The sequence below is a fragment of the Homo sapiens genome, chromosome 12 (genome assembly GCF_000001405.40).
Source record: "Homo sapiens chromosome 12, GRCh38.p14 Primary Assembly".
Lineage (NCBI taxonomy): Eukaryota > Metazoa > Chordata > Mammalia > Primates > Hominidae > Homo > Homo sapiens.
Window position 1 is genome coordinate 76978137 of NC_000012.12, and position 27686 is coordinate 77005822.

A 27686-nucleotide genomic window follows, 5' to 3' on the forward strand; every position below is an offset into this window, starting at 1 on the left:
TTAGCATAATGTCCTTCAAGTTCAACTATGTCACAAATGACAAGATTTCTTTCATTTTAAGGCTGAATAATATTTCATTATATATATAATATTCATATATATATCCTTTTCTTTCCATTCATCTCTCAATGGACAATTAGGTTGTTTCCATATCTTGGCTACTGCGAATAATGCTGCAATGAACATGGGAATGCTAATATCTCTTTGTGATAGCAATTTTATTTCTTTTGGATATATACCAAGAAGTGGGATTTCTGGGTCAAACATTAGTTCTATTTTTAATTTATTAAGAAACTACCATACACTTCCCATAATGGCTCTTCCAATTTATATTCCCACCAATGTTTTATAAGGGTTTGCTTTTTTCTTAACATCCTAACCAATACTTGTTTTCTTTTGACTTTTTTTGATAACAACCATCCTAACTAGCGTGAGGCAATATCTCATTGTGGTTTTGATTTGCATTTCCTTGATAATTATTGATGTTTGTATACTTGTTGGACATTTGTATGTCTTCTTTGGAAAAATGTTTCTTAAGATTCTTTACCTATTTTTAATCAAGTTATTTGGTTTCTTTTTTTTTTCTATTGAACTGTAGGAATTCCTTGTATATTTTGAAATATATGATGATATTATATTTTATATACTTTTATGTATTTTGGACCTTAACTCCTTAATAGATATGTGCTTGCAAATATTTTATCCCATTCTGTGTGCTGTCTTTTCATTTTGTTGAATGTTTTCTTTGCTGTGCAGAAACTTTTAAGTTTGATGTAGTCTGACTTTTAAATTTTTGTTTTGTTTCCTGTACTTTGATGTCAAATCCAAAAAAATCATTGCAAAGACCAATGTCATAAAGCTTTTCCCCTATGTTTCTTCTAGGAGTTTTACAGTGTCAGGTCTTACACTTAAGTCTTTAATCCATCTTGAATTAATTTTTGCACATGGTGTAAGATAAGGGTCCAATTTCATTCTTTTGCTTGTGGATATTCAGTTTTCCCAACACCATTAGTTGAAGAGACTGGGCTTTCCCCATTGTTTATTCTTGGAGCCTTTGTCAAAAATTAGTTGACAATATGTGTGTGGGTTTATTACTGGGATCTCTATTTTGTTCCATTGGTCTATGTGTCTGTTTCTATGCCAGTATCATACTGTTTCAATTACTATAGCTTTGTAATACAACTTGAAATCAAGAAGTGTGATGCTTCCAGCTTTGCTCTTTTTGCTGAAGATTGCTTCAGCTATTTGGAGTCCTTAGGGGTGCCATATGAATTTTAGGATTGTTTTTCTATTCTGTGAAAAATGCCACTGACATTTTAGTAAGAATTGCATTGAATCTGTAGATCAGTTTGGGGGCATTTTAAAGAACATTATTGTATGAACATTTTAACAGTATTCTTCCAATCCATGAACATGGATATCTTTCCATTTATTTGTGTTTTCTTTAATTTTTTTCATCAATATTTTACAGTTTTCAGTGTATAGGTATTTCAACTCTTTTGTTAAAATTGCTCCTTTTTATTCTGTTTGATGCTGTTGTAAATAGGATTGTTTTCTTAATTACCACAGCATCAAACAGAATTAGTTACATTGTTATTGTTAGTGAACATAAACATAACTAATTTTTGTATGTTGATTTTGTATCCTGCAAGTTTACTGAATTCATTGATTAGTTCTAACAGTTTTTTGGTGGAGTATTTATGGCTTTCTGTATATAAGATTATGTCATTAGCAAACAGAGGTAATTTTACTTTTCTTCTCCAATTTAGATGCCTTCTATTTCTTTTTCTTACTCTGGCTTGGACTTCCAGTACTATGTTGAATAGAATTGATGAGATGAGCACCTTTGTCTTTTAGTTTTTCACTGGTGAGAATGACATGAGCTGTGGGTTTGTTATATATCCTTTAGTATGTTGAAGGACATTCCTTCTATACCTAATTTGTTGAGAGTTTTTATCATATAAGGATGTTGAATTTTGTCAAATGCTTTTTCTGCATTTATTGAGATGCTCATGTAATTATATTCTTCATTTTGTTAATATGTGGTTTTACATTTATTGATTTGCATATGTTAAACCATCCTTGCATCTGAGGAATAAATACCACATGATCATGGTGAATGATCCTTTTAATTTGATGTTGAATTCAGTTTGCTTGTATTTGTTTGAAATTTTTGCATCTATGCTCTTCAGGGATATTGGCCTGTAATTATCTTTTCTCATGGTATCCTTGTCTGGCTTTGGTATCAGGATAATGCTGACCTTGTAAAATGAGTTTGGCAGTATATCCTTGCCTTCAATTTTTTGGAAGAATTTAAAAAGAATTGGTACTAATTTTTCATTAAATGTTTGATACAATTCATCTGTGAAGCCATTCAGTCCTTGACTTACCTCTTTTTTTGTTGTTTTTCTGAGATGGAGTTTCACTCTTGTTGCCCAGGCTGGAGCGCAATGGCGCAATCTCGGCTCACTGCAACCTCTGCCTCCCAGGTTTAAGCGATTCTCCTGCCTCAGCCTCCAGAGTAGCTGGGATTACAGGTGTACACCACCACACCTGGCTAATTTTGTATTTTTAGTAGAGACAGGGTTTCGCCTTGTTGGTCTGGCTGGTCTCGAACTCTTGACCTTAGGTGATCCGCCTGCCTCAGCCTCCCAAAGTGCTGGGATTACAGGCGTGAGCCACTGCACTCGGCCCCTTGACTTATCTTTTTAAGGAGAGTTTTAATTACTGACTTAATCTCGTTTTTGCTATTGGTCTGTTCAGATTTTCTATGTCTTCATGATTCAGTCTTGGTAGGTTGAATGTTTTCAGAATTTATCCATTTCTTCCAGGTTATTCAATTGTTTTGGTGTGTAATTGTTCATAGGAGTCTCATATATTTCTACGGTATCAGTTGAAATGTCTCCTCTTTCATTTATAACTTTATTTATTTGAGTCTTCTTTTCTTAATTAGTCTAGCTAGACATTTGTCAATACTTATCTTTTCAAAAAATAACTTAGTTTCAGTGATCTTTTGTATTGTTTTTCTCTTTATTTTGTTTATTTCTGCCTTTATCTTTTTTATTTTCTTCTATCTGCTGACTTGGGGCTTAGTATTTTCTCTAGTTTCTTGAGGTGTAAAGTTATATTTTTTATATGAGATCTTTTTTTCTTAATGTAGGCATTTATCACTGTAAAATTTCCTCTTAGAACTGCTCTTGCTGCATCCTATAAGTTTTAGTATGCTGTGTTTTCATTTTTGTTTGTCTTAAAATACTTTTTGAGTTCCCTCTTGATTTCTTCTTTTATCTATTGGTTTTCAGGAGTGTGTTGTTTAATTTCCATATATTTTTGAATTTTTCTATTTTCTTTATACTACTGAATTCTAGTTTTATACCATTTTGGTTAGAAGAGACACTTGATATAATTTCAATCTTCTTAAATTTGTTAATCCTTGTTTTGTGGCCTAACACCTGATTTCTTACAGAGAATTCTATGTGTGTTTGAAAACAATGTATATACTGCTGCTGTTAGGTCAATTGTCCTATATATGTTTGTTGGGTCTATTTTGTCTATAGTGTTATTCAAGTCTGCTGTTACCTTATTGATTTTCTATCTGGATAATCTTTGTATTGTTGAAAGTGGGGTATTGAAGACCCCTACTATTATCATATGACCATCTATATCTATCTTCATTTCTGTTAATATTTAATTTGTATCTTTAGATGTTCTGATGTTGGGTACATATATATTTACAATTGCTATGTATTCTTGATGAATTGACTCCTTAATCATTATGTAACATAATACTTTGTCTCTTATGGCAGTTTTTTACTTAAAGTCTGTTTTATCTGCTGTAAGTATAGCCTGCTCTGTTTTGCTTACCATTTGCTTGAAATATCTTTTACCATTCCTTTATTTTTAACCTATGTGCACCCTGAAAGCTAGTCTCAGGTGCACAGTGTGTAATTGGATGTTGTTTTTTTAAATAGATTTGGCCACTTTGTCTTTTGATTGGGGAATTTGATCCATTTACATTTAAAGTAATTATTGATAGCTAAGCAGTTACTACTGCTATTTGTTAATTATATTGTGACTCTTTTATAGTTCTTTTGTTCCATTCATTCTTTCTTCCTGTCTTTCCTTGTGACTTGATACTTTTCGTAGCGGTATGCTTTGATTCCTTTTTCTTTCTCTTTTGCCTATCTACTACAGATTTTTCCTTTATGGTTACCATGAAGCTTACATAAAACATCTTAAAATTATAGCACTCCATTTTAAGCTAATAATTATTTAACCTTGACCACATACAAATCTCCACATTTTAACTTCTCCTCTCCAAACATTTTATGTTATTGATGTAGCAATTTATTTTGTTTTAGAGATGGAGTCTCTCTCTGTCACCCAGGCTGAGCAGTGGTGTGATCTTGGCTCACTGCAACCTCTGCCTCCTCAGTTCAAGTGATTTTCCTGCCTCAGCCTCCTGAGTAGCTGGGATTACAGGCATGCACCACCATGCCCAGCTAATTTTTGTATTTTTAGTAGAGATGGGTTTTTGCTGTATTGGCCAGGCTGGTCTTGAACTCCTGACCTCAAGTGATCTGCCCACCTTGGCCTCCCAAAGTGCTGGCATTCCTGGCATGAGCCACCATGCCCAACCCTGCAGTTTACAATTTTGTGCATCATGTATCCATTAACAAATTATTGTAGCTGTAGTTATTTTTAATACCTTTGTCTTTTTATTTTTGTACTATACTAGAGTTAAAAGTGATTTTATGCATCACATTATTATTCTAGATTTGACTATATTCTTACTTTTAGAGTGAGTTTCATACTTTCCTATATTTCCATGTTGTTAGTTAACATTGTTTCACTTTAATTTGAACTACACCCTTTAGCATTTTTTGTAAGGCAGGTGGAATGGTGATAAACTCCCACAGGCTTTGTCTGGAAAAGTCCTTACCTCTCCTTCATTTCTGAAGAATAGCTTTGCTGATTATGGTATTTTTGGTTGATAGGTTTTTCTTCTTTCAGTACTTTAAGCATATCATTCCACCCTCTTTTGACCTGGAAGGCTTCTGCTTAGAAATCCCCTGATAGCCATATATGGGTTCCTTTGTATGTAATGAGTTGCTTTTGTCTTTTTGCTTTAAAAATTCTTTGTCTTTGACTTTTGACAATTTGATTATAATGTGTCTCAGTGAAGATCTCTATAACTAAATACAAATTTAATTTACTTAGGGTTCTTTGTGCTTCATGGATGTAGATATTCACTTCCCTCTCCAGATCTGGAGATTTTTCTGCCATTATTTCTTTAAATGAGCCTTCTACCCCTTACTCTTCCTCTGCTCTTTTGTGACTTTCACAATACATATATTGGTTCACTTGATTGTGTCCCATACGTCCTGTAGGCTTTCTTTATTCTTTTCATTTCTTTTTGTTTTTCTGGGTTACTTCAAATGGCCTATGTTCAAGCTCACTGGTACTTCTGCCTGATAGAGCCTGCTGTTAAAGCTTTCTAAGGTATTTTTCAGTTTGGTCACTGGTTCTTTAGCTTTGGAATTTATGTTCGGTTCTTTTAAAAATAATTTCTATGCTTGAACTCCTTGTTGAGCTTTTCATTTTGTTTGTATATTGTTTTTCTGATTTTTTTATATTTTTTTCCAGGTTCCAAATGTGTTTTTTATTCACTATTTTTGATGACTATAAATAAGTGTTTCCACTATGGAAAAGAAAGTTGGCACAGTACATTTTCATGACTGGGGAATGGGTTTTCTGAAGTCATCTTCAATATGGCAAAAACTTAAGAAACAAACAAAAAAAAACAACCTGAATGTTGAATTCAGTTCTTTATATAACGTCCCTTGTAAAAATGAAAGAATAAACCGAAAAAGAGGGGCAGGGTAAAATTTTTTTTAAAAAAAAGAAAGGAAAGAGAGGAAAAGGAAATAAAATAAGACGATTTATTGCTTCTCCTCAGCATCCTCCTTGGTCTCCTCCTTCACCGAGAGAGCTTCTAGCTTTTTTGCCACTTTTTTGGCATGATCGTTTTTGCCTGATCCTGCTTTCTTTTCTCTCTCTTCGATCTCTTTTCTGCATTCTTCAAACTTTGTTTTGAATTTCTGTGCATTCTCAGCATTCAGGAAGCAGATGGCCAGCAGCTCCGGCTTGGGTACTGGTCGGCGAAGTCAGCATGGGTGTTCCAGACCCAGGCACGGTCACTACCTGCTTGGGCTTCAGCTCCATCATCCGCATGATGTAGTGGTTGGCACAGATATTCAGGGTCTTGTCCCTCTGCATGAGGAGGCGGATGGCCCCTTTCTCCTTGTGCTTCAGGAGCTTGACGTCACCAGTGCCTCGCTCCTTCCATTCTGGGAGATCGTTCTCTGAGGCAAATCAGAACAGTTTTGCCTGCATTTTAAAAAGTTCCTCTTCATCATCTTTCAGCGTTTTAATTTCTTGCTCAGGAAGACAAACTGAGAGTCATGGTTGTACTCGTCTGTATTCTCAGTGGAAGTATCATGGTCCTCACGAGTGTCCTTGGCGGCCGCCATGGGGGCGCAGCGGTGGCCGCTCACCTGGGTCTGTTATCGCTGGCTCCGCGGCCTCTCGGCGGCTACGTAGCTCCTTCCCGCCCGCTCTTCCCTCCGCCCCGCGACCTGAACCTCGACCCCTGACCCCAGCAGCAGGAAACGCATGGCGATTCAAAACCAGTACAGCTTTATTGGCTCAGGCAGCGGACACTCTCATTGTCCGGCCTGCCCCGGGCTTCCCGCCCCTGATTTTTTTTTTAAATGGAGTTTCACTCTTTTTACCCAGGCTGGGGTGCAATGGCACGACCTTGGTTCTTTGCAACCTCCACCTACCAGGTTCAAGCAATTCTCCTGCCTCAGCCTCCTGGGTAGCTGAGATTACAAGCGCCCACCACCACACCCAGCTAGTTTTTTGTACTTTTAGTAGAGATGGGGTTTCACCATGTTGGCCAGGCTGGTCTCAAACTCCTGACCTCAGGTGATCCACCCGCCTCATTCTCCCAAAGTGCTGGGATTACAGGCGTGAGCCACTGCTCCCAGTCTCTGATTTTTTTTTTTTTTTTTTTTTGTATACCTGTGTTCTCTTGTAGTTTACTGACCACAGGTGACTGCCTGGCACTAAAACAGGCCTAGAGGTTGGGTTTGCAGGGGCAGACCAGTGTTCTGGGGCCACAAGGGCCAGCCTAGAACCTGGGTCTACTGGGATAGATATGAACCATATGTCTGCTGGAGTGTGGGGCTGCAGTGGCTGCTGGTTACTGGGTGGGGATAGAGCCTGTATTTGCAGGAGCTGGCCTGGAACATAGGTACATGTGTGCTGGTTTGGTGACTGGAGTCATGGCGGCTGACCTGGAGCTGGGGTTCTTGGGTTCCAACCTGGCACAGGAGTCGGCCTGGAGGCTAAATCTGCTGGGAATTGGGACCTTGGAGGCCAGCAGCCAGCCTGGAGCCTGTGTTTGCAGGGGCTGACCTGACTCTGGTCATGTCTAGAGCCTGTGTCTTAGGAGGGTGGCCAGCTTAGGTCTGTGTGTGCTGGTCTGGTACCTGCAGCCACAGTAGTGTGTCTGGAGCCAGAATCCACAGCAAAATCAGATGCTCACTTCACTTTTTTTCTCCACTGGAAGAGTTTCTTTCTGCACGCTATGCTGCCCAGGCACGGGAAAAGGCAGTGCATCTTTTCTTATTTCTGTGCTACACCAAGGCGTTGCAATTTTTCACTTGAATCCTTTAGTTTGTTAAAGGTATTTTTGGGCATGGATAGTTGTTTGTGATGTTTCTCTAACAGAATAAGTGCTGTAAAGTCCTATTCTGCCATCTTGCTGATGTCACTCCCCCATATTTCTTGACAGTAGATACTGCCATTGCTCATTTAGTTTCCCTCCCTCCCCTTTTACTTCTTCTTTATACCCCTCCACTGTCTTTAATGTGATTTTACTTTTAACAGCTTCTAACCTGTCACTCTTCTTCAAAGGACTGTCCTTAGGCCACTGGAACAGCTTTACTCATAGACACAGAAAACTAGAAGAGTCTGGGAGTTTTTGATCCCCTGCAATGATGCTTACCCAATGAGTAATCACTTTGGGAGATGAAAGTCTACCTTCCTTGCCTTAGGACGCAACGACTTTGAGGCTGTAACTTATACTTCAGAATCTCCTATGGAATCAGACTGAAACTACCCACCTAGGAATTTGCTAAAACCATAGCATCCTTGGTTTCATTGTTTTTCTTTTTCTTTCTTTCTTTCTCTTTTTTTTTTTTTTTTTTTTTTTGAGATGGAGTTTCACTCTTGTTGCCCAGGCCGAAGTGCGATGGTGCATCTCAGCTCATGCAACCTCTGCCTCCCGGGTTCAAGTGATTCTCCTACCTCAGCCTCCCAAGTAGCTGGGACTACAGGTGCCTGCCACTATGCCCGGCTAATTTTTGTATTTTTAGTAGAGATGGGGTTTTGCCACGTTGGCCAGGCTGGTCTTGAACTCCTGACCTCAGGTGATCCGCCCACCTTGGCCTCCCAAAGTGCTGGGATTACAGGCGTGAGCCACTGTACCTGGCCCATTGTTTTTCTTTGTTATGTTTCCCCCTCTTCCTTATCAGCTTCTTATGGAAACACTTCCTTGCACACAAATCCTCATCTCAAAGTCTGCTTCAGAGGAATACAACATGACATAGGTCCAACATTGCTTTCCAAATATTTCTAATGAGTTTCCAGAATTGAATTTAACAACACAATATCCATATCTTCCACATTAGACTAAAAGCTCTTTGCTCTTTGAAGGCAGACAGAAATGTTTGATTCTGATACTTATTTGCCATTGAAACTGAAAATAAAAGTTTACACTCAGTGAGCCAAATTAGTGAATAATTGGAAGGCATAGGGTCAGTAGTCAGTAATTTTATTTAGGATTGTCCCTAGATGAATGAAGTGAGAAGTCTATGTCTCTCATTATAATCCTTGTGACTAAATTAGTCTGATGTCTCCAGACAAAAGATGCTTCATTTCTATCAACCACTGTTAAGGATTGGATGATAAAAATGCATTCTACCTTAAACATTTCTTAATTCTAAAGAACCAGATGAATAAGGGCAGTACTTCCTCTTCACTCAATTATGATAAATTACCTTATCTTTTATATTGTGTTGGAGAGCCAGGGGAGTGATTGAAAGTTCTTTTTGTTGCTTTTCAATTTGTCCTTGCTTGCATAGTTCTTGAAATTAGAGGACATATGTGGTTTGTAGAAGTCAAGCTGGTAAGCTTGTAATCAGTGTAATATAATGAAAGTCATCTAATTGAGGTCTGTTTAGTTTTCATTTTCTACATAATGGGGGCATAGTAAGTATTATGGGATATTAAGTTAACTAGTGATATTTTACTATTCATGCCTAGCATGAAAATCAATTTCCCATTGATTTGATTTAGTTCTGTGCATCAGGAAGTAGATAACTAAAGAAAGGGATTAAAGTATTAAATTTAGTTTCTTTCCTTAGTCATTCATCCTTAGAAACCATTACATTATTTATCCCTCACTCTGTGGAAAAGTAAAATCCTCTCCTCAGATAAGTTTTATTTTCTATAAGTGTTTTTTGTAATCCCAGTATATATTTGCTGTTCAAGAAATAAGTGGTCAGAACTATAATTTGTCTAATGACTTCATTATAAATAGAAATGTAATTTAGATGTTCATTCTCTTTTACTTCATTTTTTTCCTTTCACAGTTATTTTTCACAACTTGGTAGTATCAAGAAAAATAAGACGTAGCATAAAAAGAATTATTTTCTTTCTGCTCTAAGGATCAGTTAATGAATATATATGCATAACCCTCCTCACAAGGAAGATTAACGATTTTGAAACTTTTCCCCACCTGCAACAGGGACACTTGAAGCACATCTTTTCTGAAGGTGGACCCCTGAGATTTGGGTTCTGCCAGGTAACATGGGACGAGAGATCAAAATTAGTCAACAGCTGGATGTACACTAAATATTTGTTTCCTTTTATTATTTTTCAAGCTCTCTTGGATTGCATCTTTTAGAAACACCACAGTTGTGCTTATTAAATTGAACAAGTTAACAAATATAAAGTACTTAGAATAGCTCCTGGAACATTGTAAGTTCTCAGTAAATATTAATTATATTGTAGGTCCCCAAACCCTTCTCTTAAACCTTTGGAGTCAGATGTATTTTTGGGATTCAGAATTTTTTGGATTTTGGAACAGTATGCATAGTATCTCTAGCACCCCAAAATCAAACACATTGAAATTTCTGCATTGAAACACATGAATATTCACACAAAGTATAGTATATACTATATAACAAATAGTCTCATGTTAATTCAGGTCAGATTTTACCACTGAATACATTATTTGAAAACTTAGGGCTTTTGGCCGGGTGTGGTGGCTCATGCCTGTAATCCCAGCACTTTGGGAGGCCGAGGCAGGTGGATCACTTGAGGTCAGGCGTTCAAGACCAGTCTGGCCAACACGGTGAAACCCCGTTTCCACTAAAAATACAAAAACTAGCCAAGCTTGGTGGCATACGTCTGTAATCCCAGCTACTTGGGTAGCTGAGGCATGAGAATCGCTTGAACCCAGGAGGTGGAGGTTGCAGTGAGCTGAGAGCATGCCATGGCACTCCAGCCTGGGAGACAGAGTGAGATTCTGTCTCTAAATAAATAAATAAATAAACAGAAAAACACTTTGGTTTTTTAAAGCTCTTTGAGTTTTGTCATTATAGATAGGAATTATAAACTTATATCATCATCATCAGTTTTTCCTTAAAACTTACTTCTAAAACATACCTCCTTTTTTGGCACTAGATAGGGCCTAAATAAATAAGGAAGCAAACAAAATTCTTGGAATCCTCTTGTTAAAAAAAATTATTTCAAAGAGATTTTAATTGCATGAAAAAGACTTTACCAGAAGCATAGTAGATAATTATTTCATCAGAATTTTCTCTGGGAAATTATATATTCTGTCATTTTTCTGATCAAAATGTCTTTAGCTCCAAACAAACCTAAATTTCAATTCTGGTCCTGTCCTTTAGGGTGTGGGCCAATCAACTTCTTTTTGGAATTTCAAGGAAAAGCAGTTCAACAGCAGCAAATAGTCAGGACCAAATGAATATATTTACCTAACAGCCCTGAAAGAATATGAGACAAAGAAGGGCATCTTTATTTTAGACATCCATACAGACACATCAAACCTTTAAACTAAAACAGTCATTTGAATTTTATTGTCATCACTTTGAGATTTTACCAAGAAAAAATTTCTGAAGACTCTCAAAATGACAGTCCGTATTTATCCATATATTAACCATTCTAAATCACTTTATTCCTTTGTGTAGAAACGAGTTTCCATATGATATCATTTTCCTTCTGCCTAAAAAATGTTAACATTTCTTGCAGTGCATTTGTGTTAGTAATGGATCCTCAGATTTTGTGGTATGAATGTCTTTATTTACTTTTCTTATTAAAAGATATTTTTACTGGCTATAAAATTTTAGGATGAGTTTCTTTCAGAACTTTAAAAATGTCATTCCATTGTCTTTTGGTTGGCATAGTTTCTTATGAAAACCCATGGTTTTCTTCTGTAGTAATGTGTCCTTTTCTCCAACTGCTTCCAAGATTTCCTCTTCATCATTTGTTTTCAATAATTTTGGTTTATTTGTGTCTATCTTGCTTTCATTGGCTAAAAGCTCTTTGATCTGGTATATGGTGTTCATCAAACTTGGAAACTATTTGGCCATTAATTCTTCAAATGTTTTTCGAACCCTTCCTCTCCTTCGGGAACTCCAATTACATGTGTTAGACTGCTTGATATTGTCAATGATGCCTCAGTCTTTCTCTCAGTGATTAATTTGCAATAGTACCTGTCTTCAAGCTCTTTCTTTCTGTATTATCTAATCCACTGTTAATTCTATCTTTTGAGTTTTTCATTTAAAATATATTTTTCAGCTCTAGAAGTTCCCTTGCTTCCTTTTTATGTCTTCCTTTTCTTCTCCTCATTGGGTTCATATTTTAAATTCTTTAGAATATTGAATATATTTTTAATAGTTGTTTTAAAGTTATTATCTGCTAATCCCATCATTTGTGTCATTTCTGGGTCTCTTTCTATTGACTAATTTTTCTCCTGCTATGGGTCACATTTTCCTGCATTTTCATATATGTGTCAATGTTTTATTGGATACTTCACCTTGTGAATTTTATATTGTTCCATGGTGAATATTAATGTATTCATTTAAAAGATGTTGGATTTTGTTCTGGTAGGCAGTTAAGTTACTTTACGATTGACTTGAGCCTTTGAAGTCTTTATTTATAAATTTTCTTAGGGTAGGTATAGAGTAGCATTTAAGACCAGGCTATTTTTAGCCCCACTACTAATGTGTAACCCTTCTCAGATGTCTACTGAAGACATTTGTATTTCACAAAGTCTCTACTTTTGCCATATGTGAACCATTTGTGAGCCCTGAGAATTGCTCGACTTAACCTCTCTGGTAGTTGTTCTTTCCCTAACACTTATTCTTTGCTTGGCTTCATGGAATTTCTCCCTACATGAGGGTAGACTGGCATTCAGCCAAAATCTCAAGGGGATGCCCTAGCAGATTTCCAGAACTCTCTTTTTTTAAAAAAATAATTTCCTCCTCTCTACTACTATGCCCCATTAATATTAGCCTCCAAAGTCAAAACTTCAATCTCTGTCTTCTCAACTCAGCAAGATTGCCAAGCTGTTTGGTGTCTGCCTCTCTATACTGAAATCCAGAACGTGCCTCTAGGCAGAGAGCCAGGGCAGTCATGGACTCACCTAATTTGTTTTCCCTCTCTCAAGGATCACAGTCCTGTGCTGCCTATTACTTAATGCTTAAAGATAATTGTTTTATATATTTGTCTAGTTTTCTAGTTGTGTATTGCAGAGGGTAATTCTGTAGCCTTGGCAACTTTTTAGCTCTGTGACCTGGGCAAATTACTTTGTCTGTCCAAACTTCACTTTTCTTATTAGTAAATGAGGATTATACTCTAATGACTTTTAGTGTGGTGAGTATTAAATGAAATAATGTGTCGAGTACTCTGCCCATTGTAAGTTCTCAGTAAAAGGTCACTGCTGTCAACAATTTAAAGTCAAAAGTCACACAAAAAAACTTTATGGAACCAATTAGGCCTTTTCAGATTGAGATGTTCCATCTTATTGAGTGATTTATTTTTCCGTTTTGTTTTGTTTTGTTTTCCTCTGTACTCATCCACTCACAATAATTGGCTAAGGTCCTTCTAACTTGAACAACAGAAAGTGAAGATAGGCCAAAAGATCATGAACTTGAAGGTTTATATGTGACTGTAAACAACAGAATACAGTGTACCTAGAGCAATAGCTGGAAAACTAGCTAAGCCTGGCTGAACATCAACAAGATAGTCATGTATGAAATGAGAAAGAGGTAGGGAATGAGTATAAGCAAACAAAAGCCATAGCAATTTATGGGACTGATGAGTTTGTAATAAGGATGATTTCACCTTCAAGTAATGGCAAACCCTTATTCAAAGTGCTTAAAACAATGGTAAATGTATTATCTCATATGATACCTTTATAATACATACCTGTCCAGGGGCAGGGTAGATTCCCGGTGCATTGTATCAGTGCCTTGGCTCTGCCTGTGCTTCTCTGTGATTCTTTGATCTCTGCCTGACTTTGTTAGCTTCATCTTTGGGTTGTCATGACTTAACAACATCTGGAAAATGAAGAAGAATCTTCTCATCCAATTCTCTTTCTTAGGAGTAGATAACTTTTTACTAGAAGCTCTACCTGCCATCTCCCAGCACAGATATGTACTCACCTCTCCTTGGCTAAATAAGGTTAAGTGCCTGTTCCTAAACCAAGGAGGGAGTGGGTTAACTGATTGGCTTACGCTAATCATGTGAGGTAAATGGATGTTGGAGGGTCAACTACTATGATCACCACACAAAAAAGAGTAGATTTTTTAGGGTTTAAAGTAAGCAGGGGTTGCACATATCATTTTGCTTCATATGAAACAATTACAGATGTTCCTTGACTTCTGATGGGGTTATGTCTTGATAAGCCCACCATAAATTAAAAATATCATAAGTAAAAAATGTATTTAATGGCCCAATAAACCTATTGTTAAGTAGAAAATCTGTAAAGTCAAACCATTGTAAGTTGAGGAATGTCTGTATTAGTGTCATTTTGGTGATTGGTGAAAGAGTGTAGAATGACATGTTAAGGAGTAACAGATCTACAAAGTACTGCAGGGCTTGGCCCTGGAGACCACCTCCTCACTGTGGAACCTTAGCTTGAACAGTTCTAGGTTGCTGTGGAGTTAATGACCATTCTATCTTGCGGTGCTTCTAACTCTAACAGGGAAGACTGTGGTCTTGGTTAAACTGATATTTATTTATTGGGTTAGACTCAACCAACTTGGAAGCTTACTTTTATCCTAAGTTTATTTTAAATTGGTCACAGCAAAATTTCACACAAAAAATTAGTCAGTTAATGAGAAAGAGAAAATGATATTTTGGTCACAAAGTTGGGAAGTCCATCAGCCATTTCTTAGTTGGCATAATCTTGAAAGCATTTTACTCTAGATAGTTATGGGCAAACTGTAAAAGTAGTAGGAACGACTGAATTTTGAAATAAGAATCTGGCCATACCACACCCAACGAGAGCTCTTTTACTAAGTGGAAATATCAGGTAGCTTTAGGAGCTGGCAAAGATAATTTTTAGTAGAAAATGAACTTTAAAACTTTCTTTTTTCTTTTTAAGACACGGTCTCAGGCACTCACAGGCTGGAGAGCAGTTGCGAGATTACAGCTCTCTGCAGCCTTGACCTCCCTGGGCTCAGGCAATCCTCCCACCTCAGCCTCCTGAGCAGCTGGGACTACAGGTGTGTGCCACCATGCCTGGCTAATTTTTGTATTTTCTTTAGAGACGGGGTTTCGCCATATTGCCCAGGCTGGTCTCAAACTCCTGGACTCAAGCCATCTGCCCACCTTGGCCTCCCTCCCAAAGTGTTAGGATTACAAATGCGAGCCACTGTGCCCAGCCAAAACTCTTTTTTTTAAAGTTCAACTACTCCTGACTAAAAGCGTTAATGCACTTACCTTTAATGTAAAGAGTATTTTCTGAAGCTCAAATTTTAACTAAACATGAAAAGTTGTTGAATTTTGTCAAATGCTTTGAACTTTTTCATGAATACTCTCAACAAACTAGGAATAGAAAGAAATTACCTCAACATAATAAAGGCAATATATAAAAATCCCACAGCTAACATAGTACTCAGTGGTGAAAAATTAAAGCTTCAGCTTTAAGAGTGTGAACAAGGCAAAGATGCCCACTCTCACCATCTCTGTTTAACCTAGTATTTGAAGTCCTGACCAGAGAACTTAGGCAAGAAAAAGAAATAAAACATCCAGTTGGAAAAGAAGCAGTAAAATGATCTCTGTGTGCAGATGGCATAATCATATATACAGGAAACTTTAAAGAAAACTGTTAGAACTAATAAACAAATTTAGTAAAGTTGCAGGATACAAAATCAACATAAAAAATTAGTTGTGTTTGTACACACTAACAATGGACTATTTGACAAGTCTAACAATGGACCCTTTGACAAGGAGATTAAGAAACAATCCTACTTATAATAGCACCCAAAAGCATAAAATACCTAGGAATAAACTTAATTAAGCAAGTGAAAGACTTGTACACTGAAAACTATAAAACTTTGATGACAGAAATTAAAGAAGGCACAAGCAAGTGGAAATACTTCTCATGCTCATGGATTGGAAGAATTCATATCATTAAAGTGTCCATACCATCCAAAGTTACCTGTATATTCAATGCAATCTCTACTAAAATCCTAATGACAATTTTTACAGAAGCAGAAAAAACAAACCTAAAATTTGTGTGGAACGACAAAGGTCCCGAAATAGCCAAAATAATCTTGAGAAATAAAAACAAGACTGAAACATCACACTTCCTGATTTCAAAATATGTTACAAAGGCCCCTTCTTTGAAAATAAAAAAAAAAATTACAAAGCTGTAGTCATTAAAACAGTATGATACTGAAATAAAGATAGACATATAGACCAATGGAACAAAATAGAAAGCCCTGAAATAAACCCATGCATATGCAGTGAACTAATCTTTGACAAGGGTGCTAAGAATATGCAATGGAGAAAGGATAGTCTCTTCAACAAATGGTGCTGGCAAAACTATGCAAAAAAATGAAATTAGACCCTTATCTCACACCATACACTAAAAACAACTCAAAATGAATTAGAGACTGAAATATAAGACCTGGAACTGTAAAACTCATAGGCAAAAACATAGGAAAAAATTTTCAGAACATTGGTCTTGACAATGATTTCTTGGATATGACACTAAAGGCACAGGCAACAAAAGCAAAAATGAACAAGTGGGACTATATCAAAGTAAAAACTTCTGTACAGCATAGAAAACAATGAGCAGAGTGAAACCACAACCTAGGGAGTGGGAGAAATATTTGCAAACCACATATCTGATAATAGGTTCATATCTAAAATACATAAGGAGGGGTGGGGAAAAAATTTTAAAAAATACATGAGGAGCTACAATCCCATAGCAAAACCAAAACAAAACCAAAAGAAATAATCTTGTTAGAAATGGGCAAAAGGACTTGAATAGACATTTCTCTAATGAAGACATACAAATGACCAATAGGTATATGAAAAGATGCTCAACATCACTAATTATCAGAGAAATGCAAACCAAAATCACAATATCACCTCATACTTGTTAGACTTGTCATAAAAAATCATAAGATAAGAATTGTTAGTAAGGATATGGAGAAACTGGAACCCTTGTACACTGTTGGTAGGAATCTAAAGTGGTACAGCTATTGTGAAAAACAGTATGGAGTTTCCTCAAAAAAATAAAAATAGAGTTATAACATGATCCAGCAATCTGTGTCTGAGTATTTATAGGAAAGAACTGAAATCAGGATCTTAAAGGGACATTGGCACTCCCATGCTCGTTGCAGCATTATTCACAATAGCCAAGAGGTAGAAACAACCTAAATATCCACTAATGTATGCATGCATATAGAAAATGTGTATGTAAAGACAATGGAATATTATTCAGCCCTAAAAAAGAAGGAAACCTTGCAATATGTGACAATGTGAATGAACCTGGAGAACATCATGCTAAGTGAAATAAGCTAGTCACAGAAGGAGAAATACTGTATAATTCCACTTATGTGAGGCATCAAAAGTAGTCAAACTCATAGGATCAGAAAATTAAAAGGTGGTTGCCAGGGGCTGGGAAAGAAGGAAATGGGAGTTACTGTTAAACAGGTCTAAAGTTTCAGTTATGCAAGATAAAATAAGTTCTAGAGGTCAGTTGTACATCATGCTTATAGTAACAATACTGTACTATACACTTAAACATTTGTTAGTAGATCTGATGTCAAATGTTTTTACTGCAATAAAAAAAAACTTTACCTAACCAAATGTGCAGTGATTTCTTTAACCATGTTTTCATCAATTTATTCAGCCTAAGAGTTCAGTTGAAGAAAAATTAAAGTGAAGACAAGAAGAAGAATATTTATCATTCAAATATTTCATTAGAGGATTTTATTTCTTTACACTTTTAGATATGCTTTGAGGGAACTGGTAGGAGATGATAAATGGGCTATCTTGTGTATTTTGATATTTTCAATGCTCTTCTAAGATGTCTAGCATATGCTAGCATAAAGGTCAACGTTTTAGGGGGCATTAATTATTTTTGTATGGTGACATTTATCCATCAAGTTTAATATATAGCATGTTCCAAAATAATATTGAGCTGGCTGTTTTCCCAGTTTGTAAATATCAAATATCCCCTTAGTCAAAAGCATAAGGATAGAATTAACATAAGAGAAATACCGTCCAGTAATCAGCTAAATCAGAGCTACAGAATTAAAAGAATACATATACAATTAAAAAAAAGTCAAGTGTACCAAAAGGTATAAATAAAATATGCCTTGACTTAGATGTGCTGTCTGGCTAGGGTTTAGTTAGGTTAAGGTTGGCATTAAACTTAAGCTGGAAATACATCTAACACACTACTTAAAATATACCAGGCAATGTTCTAAGCAATTCTCATCTAAGAGAATTGTTCATTTAAGCCTAACAACAACCCTATGAAGTAGGTACTATTATCTTCATTGTGTAGATAGAAGAACTGAGATACAGCAAAGTTAAGTGATGGGCACAGGGTCACCTAGCTGATAAGTGTTGAAGCCAAAATTTGAACCCCAGGCAGTTTCACACTGGTGCTCATATACACAACCAATAAACAATTTGACCCTGGAAGTGGGGAGATAACTTTCTGAGGATCTCAGCTCCTGCTACACTCAGGATCTTCAGTAATGCAGTACTAAATAGAGGACTGCTTAGAGGTTAAGGGCAGAGGTTTAAGAGCCAGTTCCTGTTGCTTAAGTTGCCAGGTAATCGTAGATAGTTTACTTGAATACCTCTGTTTCCTCATCTGTTAAACTGGTCTAATACAGATGCTCCTTGGCTTATATGATTGAGTTATGTCTTGGTAAACTAATCATAAGTTGAAAATATCATAAATCAAAAATGGATTTAGTACACCTACCAAACATTCTATCTTAGCCTAGCCTACTTTAAACATGCTCAGAATACTTTTATTAGCCTACAGCTGGGAAAAAAAAAAATCACCTAACACAAAGCCTGTTTTATAAAAAAATTGAATATCTCATGTAATTTATTGAATATTGTACTGAAAGTGAAAATCAGAATGGTTATATGGGTACTTGCTGTGGTTTGAATGGTCCCTTCCAAGTTCATATTGAAATTTAATTTAAATTCTGCCCACGTGAATGGATTAATCCCATCATTGCAGGAGTGCATTGGTTATCACGGGACTGGGCTCCTGATAAAAGGGTGAGTTAGGCCTCATTTCTCTCTGTCTCACACATTCTCCTGCCCTTCTACCCTTCCACCACATTTTGACACAGCAAGAGGCCCTTCATCAAATGCGGAACAGATGCTGGCCCCATATTCTTAGACTTCCCAGTCTCCAGAGCTCTGAGCCAAATAAACTTCTGTTCTTTATAAATTACCCAGTCTGTGGCATTCTGTTATAGCAGTAGAAAATGGATTCAGACAGTACTTGAAGAAGTATGGTTTCTACTGAATGCATATGGCTTTTGCATCACCTTAAAGTCAAAAAATCATAAGTAAGTCAAACTATTGTTAAGTTGGAGACTATCTGAAATTGCATGTAGCTCTTCCCAAAATTTACTATGCATTAGATCCCCAGAATGTTGTGATTCAATAAAACTGTGGCAGGGCCCAGGCATCTGCATTTTAAATAAGTGCCTCAAGTAATTCTGATATATTCTGTTCTTGAACAGCTTTTGGGAAATACTGAGAGATGAGATCATGCCTGTGAAATAATGGGCACAATCCTGGCACTTGACTGGTGGGCAGAAGTGCCAGCTCTTGTCTATTTCAGTGTAACACAGACAGACGTAGGAGGGGTCTCAGATCTCAGATGATATTGCAGATGAAGGAACGTATTATGCTAGGATGATGACAATGGCATCAACAAAGATGATAATGAAAATAATCAATATTCTAGTATCCTCTATTTTGGAACAGATATCATAAGCAGGAGAAAAGGAGGTTACCAGTTCCTTTTATTCCCATCCCCAAATCTCCTTAAAAGGACTTAATTAGGTTTGCCTTCAGGTTTAACAGAAGAGGTTTATTCTAATTTTAAGAGTCTTGGCCAGGCTTGGTGGCTCACACCTGTAATCCCAGCACTTTGGGAGGCTGAGGAGGGTGGATCATGAGGTCAGGAGTTCAAGACCAGCCTGGCCAACATGGCGAAACCCCATCTCTACTAAAAATACAAAAATTAGTCAGGCATGGTGTCAGGTGCCTGTAATCCCAGCTACTCATGAGGGAGGCTGAGGCAGGAGAATCGCTTGAGCCTGGGAGGCCGAGGTTGCAGTGAGCTAAGATCACGACACTGCACTCCAGCCTGGGTGACAGAATGAGACTGTCTCTAAAAACACAAAACACAAAAAACAAAAGAGTCCCTTGGCTAATTCTCTTCCCATGTTTCCTTACTTACTGGTTATGCCAATTTTCTTTACTGGAAATAATCTTTCACTATACAATTCAATGTAAAAAACAAAATATAAATGTCTAGATGAAGTAATGTTTAGTTTGAATATGCTTCAGCAAAATGTCATTAGCCATTCAACAAGTTCATATACCTCCTTAATAAATCCTTCCTTGTTTTAATAGAGCAAAGTAGTGAGGGAAACTTATGGTACCTAAAACAAGGGAGGGAAATCCACGAGGATGGGGAAGTGGAGTAAGGTGCAAAAAAGCACTGAATACGGAATACTAATCTATGTCTAGCTTTAATTGACTTTGTTCTTTTAGTTGGTCTGGTGCCCGTTAGAGCTCTGAAGGGTAATTTGTCATACAACTGCAAATACAGGCATCTGTTTTGCATAGTTTATGAACTTTAATTAAACACAATGTTTATTCAATTTTCTTAAACTCAGTTTTTAATGGAGGCAGGGTTATATTGTAGTGTAATGTCCGGGCCACAGAAATCTAGTCTTAAAATAGGCCCATAACCTATCTTATCATAACTAAATGTTGTGGATATGCTTCAATGTAACAACTTTTACACTACCAACAAAATACCTTAAAGTAGAAAATTTATAAAGCGTGCTCCATTCCCTTAATATATGTTAGAAATCATGGTGCATAAACATAAGTTGGAAGCGTTCAGGGACTGTAGCTTGGATTTTGGTGTAAAGCAAAAGGAAGGCTCCATGCCCCTGAAGGAAGGTACAGCATGAAGTTTGAAATTAGACTCACTGGGTGTGGGGTTTGTGTGACCTCCTGAAAATCACTTAACATCTCTGAACCTCAGATTCATAATGATGAGTCATGAGAATGGAATAAAATAATGCATGTAAAATGTCTATTACAATGTCTGGTGCATAACACAGAGACATTCAAGATGCAGTAGCTCTTATTGCAATTCCTTAAATGTTTATTATATTTTCCCTGCCTTAGAATCTCAATTTGCATGTGCTCAGAAAATTATTGTATATTTAAAAAGCTAACTCTGTTTTAGTTTCCAAAATTTTGTGTGTAAGGTGATTTGTGGTATTTAAATATATATAACAAATGCCATAGTCAGCACTTATCTGATTTTCAGCCTTAGAATCACTTAGAAAATGACCTGATGCTTGAAAGTGCAGCAGGCATTTTGTAACCGTGAGACCATACACATGAGAACAAAAGATACCTAATAATAGTGGAACAAAAAGACTGAGAGAGCCTGGGATTCTGATGGAATTATTAAGCCATTATTTTAGTGCTGGACTGCTTATCTCTGCACATCTTGTTATATTAGAAGAGTAAACCTCTATTTGTTTAAGTAACTATAGCTTAATTTCTGATACTTGCAGATAAATGCATTCCAGTCAATTAATAAAGACTAAACAATCCTGAATGAGATAAGGAGAGCACCTGAGACAGATGAATCAGCTGACAGAATGGGAGTATGCTTGTCACTAAATAGAATCTAGGATCATTAAAACTCATGGGAGTGGAGTGGCCAGAGGATCTTGTAAGAAGGATAACATCCAGCATTCAGTGCTTTAGTAGCCAGAGGCTGCTAAATTCAATGCATTTAATGCTTTAGTGGCCGGAGTCTCTGGTAAGAACTGTGTTATGTTCTTAGACTTTGCAATGCAGGATTGTTTTTAGTAAAGTGTATTAATCTTATTAATATTTTGTGAGTGGAATCTTGTAGAAATTAGAGAAGGGTTAAATTTTTCATCTGGATCAAAAAGTACATAACAGAGGCAGCACATGTGGAAGTAGGAGTCGCAAGGTCAATTTGAATTTAGGAACATAAGTTCATGTGAAATTCACAGATACTTTGGGGTGAGCTCTAGGCTTGCAGGTTGTGGCATCCAGGGTTGGAGTTTGAACCAATTTTGCTTGGGTATTTGGGGTTGGAAGGCTTCTGGCTGCATTTGATTTGTATATCTTTAATCCAATGACTTTACAGTAAATTGGTCAAATCAAAGAATCCTAATAGTATACCTTTACCACTAATATATCAGAATGCTTTAAAACACATTTTGTTTTTCCTCTTGTAAATAGAGGAAAATCTGAACATAAAATGGTGAATTGATTCTTGTGAGTCATACTACATAAAAATATAAACAACAAAGGATGCCATTTGTGCTAGATACTATATGTTAGTTCAGATAACCTGTGTTCCATCCTTTCTTCCAAGAGGGGAGGTTGAAAAGTGAAAACTACATTTCCTAGATTCCCTTGCAGCTAGGGCTTTGGATATAAATTCAATTTTGCCAATTAATGTACCAGATAGAGATTTGAATCAAGTCTTATGAATCTTAAGAATTTCAGTGAATCTGATGAAGACATTTTTGTTATATACCATATTTCTTGGACTAGTTATTTTTAAAGGTTATTTTAATATATCTCAATTATGAAGCAATGAAGGAATTATTGCCCCTGAACACTCTGGAAGCTAGAGAATGAACACTAGAATTACTCTACTTTCAAGGCTCCTATCTCCACATTCAGAATAATATTATATCAGAAGTTACAATGCGTTACGCATGTATTTTTAACTAGTCTTTTGATTTCTGCTTTATAGGTGAGGACAGTTAGGCTCAGACCTATGAGAAACTTACTGAAGGTCACACAGCTAGATGCTAGTTACAAAATTTAAACCCAGGGCTTAACACTCTTCATGTTCCTGTTTCATAAACACAAACACGAGATATGTAAGTGAACAAAGCAGAACAGAGTTCCTGACCATTCAGTGCTTACATTCTATGGGGGAAGATGAAATAAATAAATGAATATAAGTGCTAGTGAGAGACAGGACTAGCTGGATTTCCTAGGCTGACTAAGAATTTCTAAGTCTAGCTGGGGAAGGTGACCACACCTACCTTTAAACACCGGGTTTGTAACTCAGCTCACACCTGACCAATCAGGTAGTAAAGAGGGTTCACTAAAATACCAATTAGGCTAAAAGCAGGAGGTAAAGAAATAGTCAAATCATGTATCTCCTGAGAGCACAGGGGGAGGGACAATGATTGGGATATAAACCCAGGCATTCCAGCAGGGAGCAGCAACCCCTTTGGGTCCCCTCCTATTGTACGAGAGCTCTGTTCACTTTATTACATCTTGCAGCTGTGCACACTCCTGTGGTCCGTGTTTGTTACCGCTTGAGCTGAGCTTTCGCTCACCGTCCACCACTGCTGTTTGCTGCCCTTGCAGACCCGCCGCTGACTTCCACCCCTCCGGATCTGGCAGGGTGTCCTTTGTTCTTCTGATCCAGCGAGGCGCCCATTGCCGCTCCCGATTGGGCTAAAGGCTCGCCATTGTTGCTGCACGGCTAAGTGCCCGGGTTTGTCCCAATCGAGCTGAACACTAGTCACTGGGTTCCACGGTTCTCTTCCATGACCCACGGCTTCTAATGGTTAGAGAACAAAAGGCCCGCCATTATCTTGGGAGCTGTAAGAACAAAGACCCGCCGGTAGCACTAGGAAGGAAAATCATGGTGAAGAGGCTGCAAAAGGACTAGGCAAGGTGTGTGTGTGTGTGTGTGTGTGTGTGTGTGTGTGTGTGTGTGTGTGTGTGAGATATGAGGTGGCAAGGAAGGGCTTCCTTAACAAGGTATCACTTCAGCAGAGAACTGAAGGCAGTGAGGGAATGAGCAATGTACACATCAGGGCAACAGCGTTCAAAGCAGAAGGGAAAGCCCAGTGGGGAGAGAATGTTCACTGTGTGGTTCCGAGAGATAGAAAATGTGAACACTATGAAAGCATACGCTTTCTTAGTTGTCTGATTTCTCCCCTTTAATTTTAGAATTATTTTCTCTTTTCTTATCTCTACCATAATCCAACCCTAACAAAGTTGAAAAATTATTTTATATCATCTTTATATATATTTAAAATTTCCTGGGCATCAGTGACCTACAATTGCATTAGTTACTTGGTCTTCCTTTCACAGTAAAACAGAAAAGTAGTCTAGAGATGTCACAGCCAGAATGTCAATTAAACATGTATTAGATTCCTAGAGCTGCTGTAACAAGTTGCCACCAACTGTGTGACATGAAACAACAGAAATTTATTCTCTAATAGTTCTGGCAGCCAAAAATCTGAAATCAAGGTGTCAGCAGAACCACGCTCCCCCTGAAGTTTCTAGGAAAGAGTCTTTCCTTGTCTCTTCCTAGCTTCCCATGCCTGCTGGCATCCTTGGCATTCTTTGGCTTTGGGAGCATCACTCCAGTCTCTGCCTGTGTCATCACATGGTCTTCCTTCAAGTGTGTCTCTTCTGTGTCTCCAAATCTCCTTCTTCTTATAAAAACACGTGTTGTTGCATTTAGGGCCCACGCTAATTGAGTATAACCTCATGTTAACTTGGTTACATCTGCAAAGACCCTATTACTAAATAAGGTCACTCACATTTATAGGTTCCAGGGGACATGAAGGTGGGGAACTCTATTTAATACAGGAGGGAAATCTCAAGTATAAACTGCCTTTCAGTTAAATGGAAATTCAATTCTATTCAACCCAATACAGGAGGGAAATTCTATTCAACCCAATACAGGAGGGAAATCTTAAACTGCCTTTCAGTTAAATGGAAATTATCTTTTTCATCCCATCCCCAGCCTCAAACACATAAATTGATTCACTTAAAGTCTTTCGTCTATAGCAAGAGTCAGCAAACTTTTTCCATACAGGGCCAGATAGTAAATATCTTAGATCTTGGGGGCCTTTAACTCTGCTGTTGAAGTGTGAAAGCAGCCACAGACAATACGTACACACATGAGCAAGGCTGTTTTCTAATAAAACTTTATTTGCAAAACAGGCTGCAGGCTAGATTTGGCTTTGGGCTTCAGTTTGCCAACTCCTGATGTATACTACTGAGAAATTGCTTAAAAAAAAAAAGAAATACATACAGCTACCTAAATTCCTCTGAACTTTAGTAAAGAGTCCAGTAAAACTTTGGTTTAATTGTAGATCAGAAGAACATGAAATGTATAACTTTTCCAAGAAATTAAATTTACTGATTTGAATAACTCTTGCCTTTCCTTTTCTATCTCAGCTATTGAAGAGCACTAAAATGGGAGAAAAGAGAAAGGAGAAGTTTAGGTGTGCCAGGCATATTGGAGTTAAAGTGCTAGCTGAATATTACTGTGAACAGAATGTGGTTTGTAGCATTTTACAATGAAATAAACGTTGAAGTCATTCCAGGAAATACTGTAACAGTCATACGGGGTAAGCAAGTAGTGCCAATTTAGTCAAGTAAAAATAGTGCACTGGAGTACAATTTAATATGTTATGGAAGATATTCATGAACTTGGAAGTCTGGTTGTGACCATGACATTAGACCCCAGAGAAACCTAAGGGACTTGACTCAATACTTGAAAAGATGGAAAAGAGCAGGATTGCCTTCATGAATAATCAGCACTCCTATTGATTGCGCTATCTAGTACATTGTAAGAAATACTGACACAAAACAAAGTAGAGATACTTAAACAGCATTCAACAATGAGAATGGTACTTTACCTTTGGAGAATGACACACCACTGAATGGCCTGAAGTGAGATGGCACTAGTGGGATATGTGTAAGGGGAAGGCAGCAGAAAGGGGAGAAATCCATGATTTAACCCTCCTTGCCTACTCTGCAGACTGCTATAAAACTATGGTACCCCAAGAGTCTAGCAAAAAGTGGAATTTAGGAGAAAGGAAGTCTTCAAGATCCAGGGACATTCTCCTCATGGCAGCAGCAGCCTCAGTGAGGGGATGTATGCCCCTTTGAGATCATCTTTTTGTCTGGCTGATCCTGAGACTCTCGTGAGGACAAATGAAGACAGATGGCAGCTTTACATACATCCTCATTTCAAAGTGATGTAGAGTATATAGATGATATCATTGCCAGGTCTGATTTAGAAAATTCAAATGGGGCTATTTTCTCTCTCTTTCTCTCTGTCTCTCTGTCTCTCTCTCTTTTTGAGTCAAGGTTTCACTTGGTCGCCCAGGCTGGAGGGCAGTGGTGTGATCATGGCTCACTGCAGCCTCAACCTCCTAAGCTCAAGTGATCCTCCCACTTCAGCCTCCCCAGTAGCTGGAACTACAGGTGCATACCTCCACACCTGGTTAATTTTTGTATTTTTGGTAGAGATGGGGTTTCGCCATGTTGTCCAGGCCAGTCTCGAGCCCCTGGGCTCAAGCAATCTTCCCACCTCAGCCTCCCAAAGTGATGGGATTACAGGTGTGAACCACTGTGCCTGACCAGATGAGGCTATTCTCTAGTGGTAGACATTACTTGTCAGTGGAGCTGAGAGTTCTTCTCACTCCATGGAATATGCTAGCTGGCTTGTGAAAATATTTTCCATCTGGGCTTCCTCCCACTGATAAGTAATGTGAGCCTTGAACTGAATATATGTGATTAGTGCTTGGGGCTGAGAATAAAGTCATTACTTGTGTATTAGAACTGGAAGTATGCATCAGAACATGGAAAAAGGCAAATAATCTTGCTCTTAGTGTTCGATTAGTAAAATGACACAGATAACTCATGATGAATGAATATGTTAAAGAGAAGTGCAAAAGTATCATAGGAAGAATGACAAGGACTGGAAATCTAATCGAATCCAGATGGAATGTGATAAAAAGTGGTTCCCTAATTATTGTTACTGTTACATCTGGAGGACTACTCTTGGAACAAGAAGGATAGGAGAAGTAAGTCAGAGACAAGAAGGAAGACTGAAGAATAAGGAACTGTGTGGGTATCACCAGCTCAGCCCATTAGCAAGGGTAGGAGCATTCCCACCCATAGGCTGGCATACTGACATAGCATTACTGTTATGAAATCTATTAATTGTGCTAAGTACTTTATGTCATAACATCATTCAATCCTGGCAAAACCTCAGGTGATTATTATCATCCCCACATTACACTTGGGTTGGCCATGCCTCAGCAAGGTTAAATGATATAACTGCTACCTTACAGCTAGTCAGTGGCAGAGCCGGGGCTTCAGCCAAGTTTGTCTGAAATGAAAGAGCATGCCCTTGGCTCCTTGTTCTATTGCCTGTTACATACGTTTCCCTCCTGGAGGTGGGATATTGGGCCATCACTGATTGATCCCACTAGCATTTCACACCATTCAACTCACATATTTGGCTTTTTACTCTGCACTTGTCAGCTGTATTGGTTGGGGCAGATCAAACTGCTGTACCAAATAAACCCAAAAGCTTAATGCCTCAAACACAACAGAAGATGTCACACGTTTAGTACAGTAGTACAGTGCCCACCCCAATAAATATTAGCTATTTATTATTACATACCTGGCACACTTTCCTAAAGATACCTCTGTGACACAAACATTATCCTCATTGTACAGAGGAGAAAACTGAGGTCCCACAGCAAGTAAATGGCAGAGCCCTGGAATCCCAAACCCATGCTCCTAACCACTAAACAATCCCTTCTCATGTTAAGTGGGGGAAATAATTGGCTTCTGGCATGAGAGAACTGAGCTCTTTACACTCTGTTTAAATGTTTTCCATGTTAATTAGATCTAAAATGTAACTGTCAGAATTATTCTCCATTTTTCCG

At 37.6% G+C, this 27686-nt stretch overlaps 1 pseudogene; it reads right to left on the bottom strand.

Moving 5' to 3' along the window:
* Positions 1 to 5801: 5801 nt before the first annotated feature.
* On the bottom strand, positions 5802 to 6644 carry LOC727803 (RAN binding protein 1 pseudogene; annotated as a pseudogene).